We start from the raw sequence: 12,590 nt of genomic DNA, 5'->3' as shown, positions 1-12,590 counted from the left end.
GCCAGGCACCGTGGCTCATGCCTGTAATTCCAGCACTTTGGGAGACCGAGGCGGGTGGATCTCCTGAGGTCGGGAGCTTGAGAGCAGTCTGACTAACATGGAAAAACACCATCTCTAATACAAATACAAAATTAGCTGGGTGTGGTGGTACACGCCTGTAATCCCAGCTACTTGGGAGCCTCAGGCAGGAGAATCGCTTGAACCTGGGAGGCAGAGGTTGCGGTGAGCCGAGATTGCGCCATTGCACTCCAGCCTGGGAAACAAGAACGAAACTCCGTCTCAAAAAAAAAAAAAAATCTGGAGGCAAATTAACATTATTTCTCAAATAAGTACAGCAGGCCAGTGTGTTCATGTACATGACCCCAATTTGCACATACGCTAAGTGAGGGACAAACTTGATCATGGGCCTGAAGGATCCCATGTTTTTAAGCACAGTAGTCTGCCAAGAAAGTACAGAAAATGACCAGTCACAGAAAATACAAGAACAGAAAGAAGTATGATGAATTAATGGGTGCAGCACACCAACATGGAACATGTATACATGTGTAACAAACCTGCACGTTGTGCACATGTACCCTAGAACTTAAAGTATAATAAAAAAAGTGTATATATATATATATATATATATATATAGAGAGAGAGAGAGAGAGAGAGAGAGAGAGAGAGAGAGAGAGAGAGAGAGAGAGAACAGATAGAAGTACATCAAGGGGGATACAAGGGCTGAGCTGGGACACAAGCGCTGAGCTGCGCTGCTGACAGTGGTTCTGAAGCCATCCCTCATGGATCATGTGCTGAGTCATGATGCCCTGCACACACTGATTTAAGCGGCCTCCTATAATTTTGTCCAGTGGATGAATAAGGTCTTGACTTACTCAGTGAGAGTAGTGTTGGAGGGGAGGGGCTCATGGGGAAATTGGGGTGTTCACTATTACAAAATCAATAGGCTGGAAAGCAACAGTATTTTGCATCCAAATCAATGTACCATGTGAAGCAAGGCCAGGAAAAGGAGGGCAAGGGTGGAGGGCAGGAATGGGCACGTAGGAGTGAACTTTGTGCATGCACATCTGTGGGAATATAATTCCACTGGGATAGACCAAGTTTTGAGCTTGGAGGAAAATGGAACTAATTTAGCAAATGGTAAAATACTGACCCAAGGTTAACTATGCAAATTACAATATGGGCAAGGGACAAGAATGAACAAGATCCAAAAAATCAGCAGTATGGTGGCCTGAGGTGAAAGCAGTTTTACATCTCTTAGGTAAAATGGCCTCTGATTTCTAGTTTCAAGCATATACTCAAAAATATGCCTTGTGTAGATTCCAGAATTTCATACACACAAAAAAAATGAGTAAAGTCTACGAGGAGTACAGCAATGTAGAGACCATGGATGTGAAGAAGGATCCCTTGGCTGAGTATGAAGAGATGTGTCTGTGAAAACAGAGGCAGGCCAAGCACAGTGGCTCATGCCTGTAATAATAATAATATTAATAATTATGACGTTTTTTAATTTTTTTTTTTTTGAGAAGGAGTGTCACTCTATCACCCAGGCAGGAGTGCAGTGGCACAATCTTGGCTCACTGCAACTTCTTCCACCCAGGTTCAAGCAATTCTCTTACCTCAGCCTCCCGAGTAGCTGGCATTACAGTCACCTGCCACCAGGCCTGGCTAATTTTTAGTTGAGATGGCATTTCACCATTTTGCCCAGGCTGATCTCAAACTCCTGACCTTGTGATTCACCCACCTGGGCCTCCCAAAGTGCTGGGATTACAGGCGTGAGCCACCTCACCCGGCCAATCCTTACTAATAACTCATCATTGTGATAGTTAACAAAAATGAAAAATACTTACAATCATAACAACTATAAAAAATATACCTTATTGCAAATCAAGTGTTTTCTACATAAACCATGGGCTTATCCATCCATGTATTCATGCACACACATCACATCATGCCGTTACAAGCGTGGTGGCGTGCATCTCTAATCCCAGCTACTCGAGAGGCTCAGGCAACAGAATCACTGTAATCTGGAAGGTGGAAGCTACAGTGAGCCAAAATCTCACCACTGCACTCCATCCTGGGTGATAGAGGGAGACTCAACTCAAAAAAAGAAAAAAATAATAAAATCAATGATGTGATAAAGCACCCTGTACCACTGACGTGTATCTTCACTTTCCATTCCATTCCTGAAGGGGTGGCCTGCCCCTCCACACCTGTGGGCATTTCTCGTCAGGTGGAACGGAGAGATTTGAGAAAAGAAAGAGACATAGAGACAAAGTACAGAGAAAGAAAAGTAGGCCTACAGGACCAGCACTCAGCATACAGAGGACCCGCGCCTGCACCGGCCTCTGAGTTCCCTCAGTATTTATTGATCATTATCTCTACCATCTCGGAGAGGGGGATGTGGCAGGACAATAAGGTAATAGTGGAGAGAGGGTCAGCAGGAAAACCTGAACAAATGTCTCTGTCATAAACAAGGTAAAGGAAAAAGTGCTGTGCTTTTGATGTGCATATACATAAACATCTCAATGCCTTAAAGAGCAGTACTGCCTCCAGCATGTCTCACCTCCAGCTCTAAGGCAGTTTTCTCCTATCTCAGTAGATGGAATATACAATTGGGCTTTACACCGAGACATTCCATTGTCCAGGGACCAGCAGGAGACAGATGCCTTCCTCTTACCTCAACTGCAAAGAGGCCTTCCTCTTTTACTAATCCTCCTCAGCACAGACCCTTTACGGGTGTTGGGCTGGGGGATGGTCAGGTCTTTCCCTTCCCATGAGGCCATATCTCAGGCTATCACATGGGAGAAACTTTGGACAATACCTGGCTTTCCTAGGCAGAGGTTCCTGCGGCCTTTCGCAGTGTTCTGTGTCCCTGGGTACTTGAGAGTAAGGAGTGGTGATGACTTTTAACAAGCACGCTGTCTTCTAGCATTTGTTTAACAAAGCACATCCTGAACAGCCCTTAATCCATTTAACCTTGAGTTGACACAGCACATGTTTCTGCCAGCACAGGGTTGGGGCTAGGGTTACAGATTCACAGCATCTCAAGGCAGAAGAATTTTTCTTAGTACAGAACAAAATGTAGTCTCTTATGTCTACTTCTTTCTACATAGACACAGTAACAGTCTGATCTCTCTCTTTTCCCCACAATTCCAAGTCATTAAAAGTTCAGATGCTGCCAGGCATGGTGGCTCATGCCTGTAATCCCAGCACTTTGGGAGGCCGAGGCGGGCGGATCACGAGGTCAGGAGTTCAAGACCAGCCTGGCCAATATGGTGAAACTCTGTCTCTACTAAAAATATAAAAATTAGCTGGGCGTGGTGGCACACGCCTATAGTCCCAGCTACTCGGGAGGCTGAGGCACAAGAATCGCTTGAACCTGGGAGGTGGAAGTTGCAGTGAGCCGAGATCACACCACTGCACTCCAGCCTGGGTGACAGAGTGAGATTCTGTCTCAAAAAAAATAAATAAAACAAAGTTCAGATGCCGGGCGCGGTGGCTCACGCCTGTAATCCCAGCACTTTGGGAGGCCGAGGCAGGCGGATCACGAGGTCAGGAGATCGAGACCAGGGTGAAACCCCGCCTCTACTAAAAATACAAGGCGCGGTGGCGGGCGCCTGTAGTCCCAGCTACTCCGGAGGCTGAGGCAGGAGAATGGCGTGAACCCAGGAGGCGGAGCTTGCAGTGAGCCGAGATTGCGCCACTGCACTCCAGCCTGGGCAACAGAGCGAGACTCTGTCTCAAAAAAAAAAAAAAAAGAAAGAAAGAAAATTCTAATTACAACTGGGCACTCCTACCCTCAAAAAAAAAAAAAAAAAAAAAAAAAAAGCCACACCTAGACGCGCACTCCATTTTGCCAGTCATTTCAGGGGTCAGAGTCACTCGGGCTGAGCTTTTCTGGTGAAGCCCCTCATCGCCAAGTTGCAGGGAGGCTCACATTTTCACCAAGTTACACTGACAAGGTCTGAGATGAGTGAGAAGGTGTGTGTGAAGTCTTACATGGGGGCCTGGAAGGGCTAATGGGAGGGGTTGGTCTTATCACCCACATCCTTGAAAATCAGAGAAGCATCTTACGCATACCTATGCTAAAGAAACTTCTTTTGCAAGATTCTGATGACATTGATTCCCGACAGTTAATTCTTCCTTACAAGAAAATCACAGTAACATTTATAAAATGCAGAAGTGTGAACACACAGCTATTGACCTTGAAAACAGTGAAAGAAGGTCAACTGTAGAACTGAGACATAAGCAAATTATTTCAATCAAGAATACATGAGTCTTCAGGCACGATGGCTCACGCCTGTAATCCTAGCACTTTGGGAGGGCAAGGTCGGCAGATCGCCTGAAGTCAGGAGTTCGAGACCAGCTTGGCCCACATGGTAAAACCCTGTCTCTACTAACAATGCAAAAAATTAGCCGGGAGTGGTGGAGGGCACCTGTAATCCCAACTACTCGGTATGCTGAGGCAGGAGAATGCCTTGAACCCGGGAGGCAGACGTTGCAGTGACACCAGATCGCACCATTGCACTCCAGCCTGAACAACAAGAGCAAAACTCCATCTCAAAAAAAAAAAAAGAGGCGGGGCACGGTGGCTCATGCCTGTAATCCCAGCACCTTGGGAGGCCAGGTCTGGCGGATCACGAGGTCAGGAGTTTGAGACCAGCCTGACAAACATGGTGAAACCCTGTCTCTACTAAAAATATAAAAATTAGCCAGGTGTGCTGGTAGGTGCCTGTAATTTCAGCTACTCAGGAGACTGAGGCAGGAGAATCACTTGATGCCGGGAGGCAGAGGTTGCAGAGCTGAGATCGCACCACTGCACTCCATCCAAGGCGACAGAGCGAGACTCCATTTAAAAAAAAACAAACAAACAAAGCAAAAGAATACATGGGTGCTTTTGGAGGAGCATTCTATGCCACTCCAGCCCATGTTTCAACATTTTTCCAGAATGGTCCAGAGGGCCTTGAGAGAAACACGCAATAAATAGCTCCCAGCTGAAGATTTTAACAAATGACATAAGGAAAGGAAACTGAAAACCAGACTAACTGGTTAAAATACATTTTTTTATTTATAATTTTTTTTTTTAATAGACGGAGTCTCACTCTGTCTCCCAGGCTGGAGTTGCAATGGTGCTATCTGGGCTTACTGCAAGCTCCACCTCCTGGGTTCACCCGCCATTCTCCTGCCTCTCAAAAAAATAAAAAATAGAAAATAAGAAACAAGACCGGGTACGGTGGCTCATGCCTGTAATCCCAGGACTTTGGGATGCCAAGGTGGGCAGATCACCTGAGGTTGGGAGTTCAAGACCAGCCTAATATGGAGAAACCCCGTCTCTACTACAAATACAAAAAATTAGCCGGGTGTGGTGGCACATGCCTGTAATCCCAGCAACTAGGGAGGCTGAGGCAGAGGAATCGCTTGAACCCGGGAGGCGGAGGTTGTGGTGAGCTGAGATCACATCATTGCACTCTAGGCTGGGCAACAAGAGTGACACTCCATCTCAAAATAAATAAATAAATAAATAAGAAAATAAGAAACAAAAAACAGGATGGCGAAAGTGGCCGACATCTGTTGGCCATGGTGGTTTCAAACTTCTGACCTCAAGTGACCTATGTGCCTTGGTCTTCCAACGTGCTGGGATTACAGGCCTGAGCCACCACACCTGGCCCCATCCTCTTAACATAAACACTTGAATGTCAATTAAGGCTTGAACTCAATGTTAAGTCAACACAAACTCAAGTCAATGCTGAATTGACTCCAATGTCAATTAATGCTTGATGGTTTGCTATACTCACTGCATTGGGAACAGTTATCTCAAAAATGAATTTTCTCATGTTCTGCAAGGAGTGACCTCGGACTGAAGACCTTGCCACACTGATGACATTTGCAAGATTTCTGTCCAGTATGGATTCTCTGATGTCCAACGAGGTGTGAATGTGAAGTAAAGGCTTTGCCACAATCATCACACTTGTGAGGTTTCTCTCCTGTATGAATTCTCCTGTTTTGCATAGGATGAAGCTTGACTGAAGACCTTGCCTCAATCATGACATTTGTAAGGTTTCTCTCCAGTATGAGGTTGCCAATGAACTGCAATGTATGAACAATGTCTGAAAAACATGCCACATTTATTACACTCAGAAGATTTCTCTTCATCATGGATTCTCCAATGATTTGCAATTGTTGTAGTGTTACTGAAGACTTTGTGACAATCATTATATTAATCAAATTTCCCTATACCATGAATTGCCTGATGGTGAATAAGTGTTGACCGGTCACTAAAGGCTTTGCCACACTCATTACACTTGTAAGGTTTCTCTCCAGTATGAATTATCCTATGTCTTTTAAGGTGTGATTTGCGACTGAAAACTTTGTCACATGCTTCACATTTGTAAGGTTTCTCTCCAGTATGAATTCTATGATGACGTGAAAGGTGTGATTGTTCATTAAAAGCCTTTCCACATTCATTACACTTGTAAGGTTTCTCTGCAGTGTGAATTCTAATATGTCTTGCCAGGTATGAATTACGCACGAAAGCCTTGTCACAAACCGTACATTTGTAAGATTTCTCTCCAGTATGAAGTCTACGATGGTATACAAGGGATGACCAGTGACGGAAGGTATTGCCACAGTCGTTACACTTGTAAGGTTTCTCACCACTATGAAGTCTACGATGGCATAGAAGGGTTGCCTTCTGACTGAACGTCTTGCTGCACTCACTACACTTGTAAGGTTTCTCACCACTATGAATTCTACGATGGCATACAAGGGATGACCTGTTACTGAAGGTCTTGCTGCACTCATTACACTTGTAAGGTTTCATTCCACTGTGAATTCTAGTATGTTTTGCCACATAGGAACGACACACGAAAGCCTTGTCACAAACCTTACATTTGTAAGATTTCTCTCCACCATGAAGTCTACGATGCCATACAAGTGATGACTTGTAACTGAAGGTCTTCCCACACTCATTACACTTGTAAGTTTTTTCTCCAGTGTGAATTCTTGTATGTCGTGCCAGCTGTGAATTCCACGTGAAAGCTGTGTCACAAACCTGACATCTGTATGGTTTCTCTCCAGTATGAATTCTCTTATGTGACTCAAGAGCTGATTTCTGACCAAAAACTTTGTCACATGCTTCACATTTGTAAGGTTTCTCTCCAGTATGAAGTCTACGATGACGTGAAAGATGTGATTGTTGATTAAAAGCTTTCCCACATTCATTACACTTGTAAGGTTTCTTTGCAGTGTGAATTCTAGTATGTACAGCCAGGACTGAATTACGCATGAAAACCTTGTTACAAACCGTACATTTGTAAGATTTCTCTAGAGTGTGAAGTCTACGATGGTATACAAGGGATGCCCGGTGACGGAAGGTATTGCCACACTGATTACACTTGTAAGGTTTTTCACCACTATGAAGTCTACGATGGCATAGAAGGGATGACCTGCGGCTGAAGGTCTTGCGACACTCATTACACTTGTAAGTTTTCTCTCCAGTGTGAATTCTTCTATGTCGTGCCAGCTGTGAATTACACGTGAAAGCTGTATCACAAACCTTACATTTGTATGGTTTCTCTCCAGTATGAATTCTCTTATGTCTCTCAAGGGTTGATTTCTGACTGAAAACTTTGTCACATTCTTCACATTTGTAAGGTTTCTCTCCAGTATGAAGTATATGATGACGTGCAAGGCTTGATTGATGATTAAAAGCCTTACCACACTCATTACACTTGTATGTTTTCTCTCCACTATGAATTCTAGTATGGTTTGCCAGATAGGAATGACACGCAAAAGCCTTCTCACAAATCTTACATTTGTAAGGTTTCACTCCAGTATGAAGTCTTTGATGGCGTGAAAGGTGTGATTGTTGATTAAAAGCCTTGCCACATTCATTACACTTGTAAGGTTTCTCTCCAGTATGAATTGCCTTATGAATTACAAGGGCTGAATTTTGACGAAAGACCTTGCCACACTCATTACACTTGTAAGGTTTTACTCCAGTATGAAGTCTATGATGGCATGTAAGGGATGACTTGTAACTGAAGGACTTTCCACACTCTTTACACTTGTAAGGTTTCTCTCCAGTGTGACATCTACGATGGCATGCAAGGTATTGCTTGTGATTAAAGAGCTTGCCACATACATCACATTTATATTGTTTGTCTCCTAAATGGGGTATCTGGTGTTTCCTTAAGAGTGAGCTACAATTAAAGGCTTTGCCACTCTCATTACATGGGAAAGATTTTTCTCTCATGTGTACTTCCTGTTTTTGTGGGAGTAATGAAGAATTCAGGGGATTATTCCCATAGTTATTAGAAATATGGATTTGGGGCCTACAGGAAATTCTTTGGGATGTTGAAACTGAGGAAGCATCACTGGTAGACTTCTCAAGTTGATTAGCAATTTCACCTTTGATCTGAAATATGTGGAGTTCAGGCAGATGTGAATAAAAGCTTGATCCAAGCTGATCTTTAATAGGCTTGTTTCCAGCATGCCTGTGATCATGTTGGTCTGTGCTACCAGTCAACTTTTTTATTTTTGTCGTGGGTGCTTCATGGCCATTTCTTTCATCTTCTTGACACTGAAACTCAATGTTATGAATTTCTTTCTCAATTTCCTGGAAGCAAAAGTCTCCAATGTGATAACTTTGATGTCTTTGCAATGTCCCTGTGTGGATCACTTCTCTATTGCCTTGCCCTGTTGACAAGACCTCCTTCATCATGTGTTTGGAAGAGATATCTACAAAATATAAACACCAATACATTTCCAATTAAGTACAGATGGTAAATCATACTGAAGTGTGTAAATATGACACAAAAAACAATACTTATTTTGAAATTCCCAAACATGATATTCAAAGTTTAGGAACACAAAAAGAGTGAGATTCTTTAGTAAATAAAGGGCAATTACATGTCCTTCAAATCAATTCTATGAAAGTCTATTTCCTATATCATGACAAAACACTGACAGGGCACAAATATGTATAAGCCTAAAGTAAGGAGTATTTTTCCACTGTGACCTTGAAGTGCATCACAATTTGCAAAAAACATATCACTGTCACATCAAGGAAGAGAAAAATATATATTCTTCATATTTAAACCATATTTACTGTGTACAAATAAATGCTAAAAAAAAAAAAAAACCACACAACATACTATATTGGTAAATAATCCACAACAAGCTCATGTAAGGATAACCAAAAGCACTGGAAATTCTGTATTATCAAACAATTATAGCACTGAGAAGATAAGAAAAGATTACAAAAATTAGCCAGGTGTGATGGTCCGTGCCTGTAGTCACAGCTACTTAGGAGGCTGAGGCACAAGAATCACTTCAACACGGGAGGCAGAGGTTGCAGTGAGCCAAGATCACACCACTGCACTCCTGCCAGGGTGGCAAAGTAGACTCTGCCTCAAACAGAAAAAAAAAAAAAAGAAAAAAGTTAGTACAATATTTTTCTAAATAAATGTCATAAAATTATATATATCTACACAGAACAGGCACTTAGTGACTTTTGAAAAAATTTTTGGGCCGGGTGCGGTGGCTCATGCCTGTAATCCCAGCACTTTGGGAGGCCGAGAAGGGTGGATCACAAGGTCAGGAGATCGAGACCATCCTGGATAACACGGTGAAACTCTGTTTCTACTAAAAACACAAAAAAATAGCCAGGCGTGGTGACAGGCGCCTGCAGTCCCAGCTACTCGGGAGGCTGTGGCAGGAGAATGGTATGAACCCAGGAGGTGGACTTTGCAGTGATCTGAGATCATGCCACTGCACTCCAGCCTGGGCGACAGAGTGAGACTCCATCTCAAAAAAAAAAAAAAATTTGTTTCCATTTTTATTGTTTTGAGAAGGAGTCTTGCACTCCAACTTGGAGCGTCATGGTGTAATCTCAGCTCACTGCAACCTCTGCCTGCTGGGTTGAAGTGATTCTCCTTCCTCAACCTCCTGAGTACCTGGGATTACAGGCACACACCACTACACCTGGCTAATTTTTGTGTTTTTAGTAGAGATGTGGTTTCACCATGTTGGCCAGGCTGGTCTCAAACTCCTGACCTTAAGTAATCCACCCCCCTTGACCTCCCAAATTTCTGGGATCACAGGTGTGAGCCACTGCACCTGGTGGCACTTTGTGACATTAACGAGTGCAGTGTGTCAGTTATATTGCATACCACATACCGAAAAGCCATATGTAAAATTATAAAATTAATTAATAAAATATTGTAACCCATGATAAAACCAGCAAGCAAATAAGTACATTTATACAGCCCGCAGAATTCTAAACAACTTCCTCTGAAGAAAAAAGCCACAACTTCTACTTAACCACCAGCACACAATATAAGAACTGAAATACATGTTAAGATCACTACCTTCTGATGTATGAGGTCAAGAAAATATACAACATTTTAAGAACTAAGAATGGACTAACAGCTAGGCAGGGAGTACAGACACATGCCACCATGCCTGGCTAACTTTTTTTTTTTTTTTTGGTGGCAAATGGAATCTAACTCTGTCACCTTGGCTGAAGTGCAGTGGCATGATCATGGTTCACTGCACCATCCACCTCCCAGGTTCAAGTGACTCTCCTGTCTCAGCCTCACAAGAAGCTGGGATAACAGGTGCATACCAAAACGCCCAGCTAATTTTTGTATTTTTACTAGAGACGGGGTTTCACCACGTTGGCCAGGCTGGTCTTGAACTTCTGACCTCAGGTGATCCACCCGTCTCGCCCTCCCAAAAGTTTGGGATTATAGGCATGAGTCATCATGCCCAATTTTTTTTAATTTAGTAGATTCAAGGTTTCATTATGTTTGCCTGACTGGTCTCAAACTCCTGACCTCAAGCCATCTACCCACCTCAGCCTTTCAAAGTGCTAGAATTAGAGGTGAAAGCCACTGAAGCTGGCCAGTCTAAGCTATTTCTGACAGAACAGTGAGATGAGTGAGGCAGGAAAAGGGGCATCTCATCATCAACATCACTGAAGGCTGAAAAATCTTATTAAACAAAGGAAGTTGAGAATGTACTATAAAACTTATATGAAGCCATCTAATAGTATTCACTTGTTTTAAAAAGCAGGTGGATGAATCACCTGAGGTTGGGAGTTCAAGACCAGCCTGACCAATATGGAGAAACCCCATCTCTCCTAAAAATACAAAAATTAGCCAGGCTTGTGCCAGGCATAATCCCAGCTACTTGGGAGCCTGAGGCAGGACAATCACTTGAACCCAGGAAGTCGAGGTTGCAGTGAGCCAAGATTGCACCATTGCACTCCAGCCTGGGCAACAAGAGGGAAACTCCATTAAAAAAAAAAAAATAGCCCGGACACAGTGGTTCATGCCTGTAATCCCAGCACTTTGGGAGGCTGAGGTAGGTAGATCACTTGAGGTCAGGAGTTTGAGACCAGCCTAGCCAACATGGGGAAACCCCATCTGTACTAAAAATACAAAATTAGGCAGGTGTGGTGGTGCATGCCTCTAATCCCAGCTACTCAGAAGGCTGAGGAAGGAGAATCGCTTAAATCCAGGAGGTGGAGGTTGTGGTGAACTGAGATTGTGCAATTGAACTTCAGCCTGGGCAACGGGAGCAAAACTCCATCTCAAAAACAAAAAAAAAAAACCAACCCTGGAGGCAAATTATCATTATTTCTCAAATAATGACAGGAGGCCCACAGTGTTCATGGACATGACCCCAGTTTGCACATAAGGTAAGTGAGGGACAAGACTTAATCCTGGGCATGAAGGATCCCACGACATGTTCTTAGGCACAATAGTCAGCACAGGCAGTACAGAAAATGACCAGACCAGAAAATACAAGGAGAACAGATAGAAGTACATCAAGGGGGATACAAAGGCTGAGCTGGGACACAAGCGCTGAGCTGCGCTGCTGACAGTGGTTCTGAAGCCATCCCTCATGGATCATGTGCTGAGTCATGATGCCCTGCACACACTGATTTAAGCGGCCTCCTATAATTTTGTCCAGTGGATGAACAAGGTCTTGACTTACTCAGTGAGAGTGGTGTTGGAGGGGAGGGGCTCACGGGGAAATTGGGGTGTTCAGCATTACAAAATCAATAGGCTGGAAAGAAACAGTATTTGCATCCAGATCAATGTATCATGTGAGTCAAGGCCAGGAAAGGAAGGGCAAGGGTGGAGAGCAGGAAGTAATGGGCATGTAGGAGTAAACTTTGTGCATGCACCTCTGTGGGAATATAATTCCACTAGGATAGACCAAATCTTGAGCTTGGACGAAAGTGGAACTAATTGAGCAAATGTTAAAATATTGACCCAAGGTTAAATATTCAAATTACAATATGGGCAAGGGACAAGAATGAAAGAGATCCAAAAAAGCAGCAGTATGGTGGCCTGAGGTGAAAGCAGTTTTACATCCTTAAATTAAGTGACTCTGATTTCCAGTTTCAAGAATATACTCAACAATATCCCCTGTGTAGATACCAGAAAGGCATACACACAAACAAACAAGTAAACTCTATGAAGAGTACAGTAGACCATGGGGGTGAACAAGGATCCCCTGGCACAGTAGGTAGAGATGTGTTTGTGAAAACAGAGCTAGGCTGAGTGCAGTGGCTCATG

The 12,590-nt window shown here is 43.4% G+C and overlaps 1 protein-coding gene across 9 annotated transcripts in view, besides 2 other annotated features; it reads right to left on the bottom strand.

Moving 5' to 3' along the window:
• ZNF808 (zinc finger protein 808) overlaps positions 1–12,590 on the bottom strand; it is a 41,086-nt gene that overhangs the window by 6,908 nt on the left and 21,588 nt on the right. For 8 of the 9 annotated variants that reach the window (NM_001321424.2, NM_001039886.4, XM_005258909.5 and 5 more), the window contains one exon: positions 5,510–8,739. In NM_001321424.2, the coding sequence (NP_001308353.1) occupies positions 6,218–8,739 (2,522 nt within the window). In that variant the 3' untranslated portion in view covers positions 5,510–6,217. Of the gene's footprint in view, positions 1–5,509; positions 8,740–12,590 lie in introns of those variants that run through there. The other variant, XR_002958314.2, reaches the window with a different exon arrangement.
• Positions 2,237–2,850: an enhancer, noted in NCBI's record as "OCT4-NANOG-H3K27ac-H3K4me1 hESC enhancer chr19:53062249-53062862 (GRCh37/hg19 assembly coordinates)". NCBI's record gives its function as "activates a minimal SCP1, AML or CMV promoter by ChIP-STARR-seq in primed H9 embryonic stem cells {active_cell/tissue: H9 hESC(primed)}" and the evidence as "EXISTENCE:reporter gene assay evidence [ECO:0000049][PMID:30033119]".
• Positions 2,851–3,462: an enhancer, noted in NCBI's record as "OCT4-NANOG-H3K27ac-H3K4me1 hESC enhancer chr19:53061637-53062248 (GRCh37/hg19 assembly coordinates)". NCBI's record gives its function as "activates a minimal SCP1, AML or CMV promoter by ChIP-STARR-seq in naive and primed H9 embryonic stem cells {active_cell/tissue: H9 hESC(naive and primed)}" and the evidence as "EXISTENCE:reporter gene assay evidence [ECO:0000049][PMID:30033119]".

The sequence above is a fragment of the Homo sapiens genome, chromosome 19 (assembly GCF_000001405.40).
Source record: "Homo sapiens chromosome 19, GRCh38.p14 Primary Assembly".
NCBI classification, from domain to species: Eukaryota; Metazoa; Chordata; class Mammalia; order Primates; family Hominidae; genus Homo; species Homo sapiens.
Note: the sequence above shows the minus strand (reverse complement) of the source record. Positions and strands in the feature narration are given on the sequence as shown.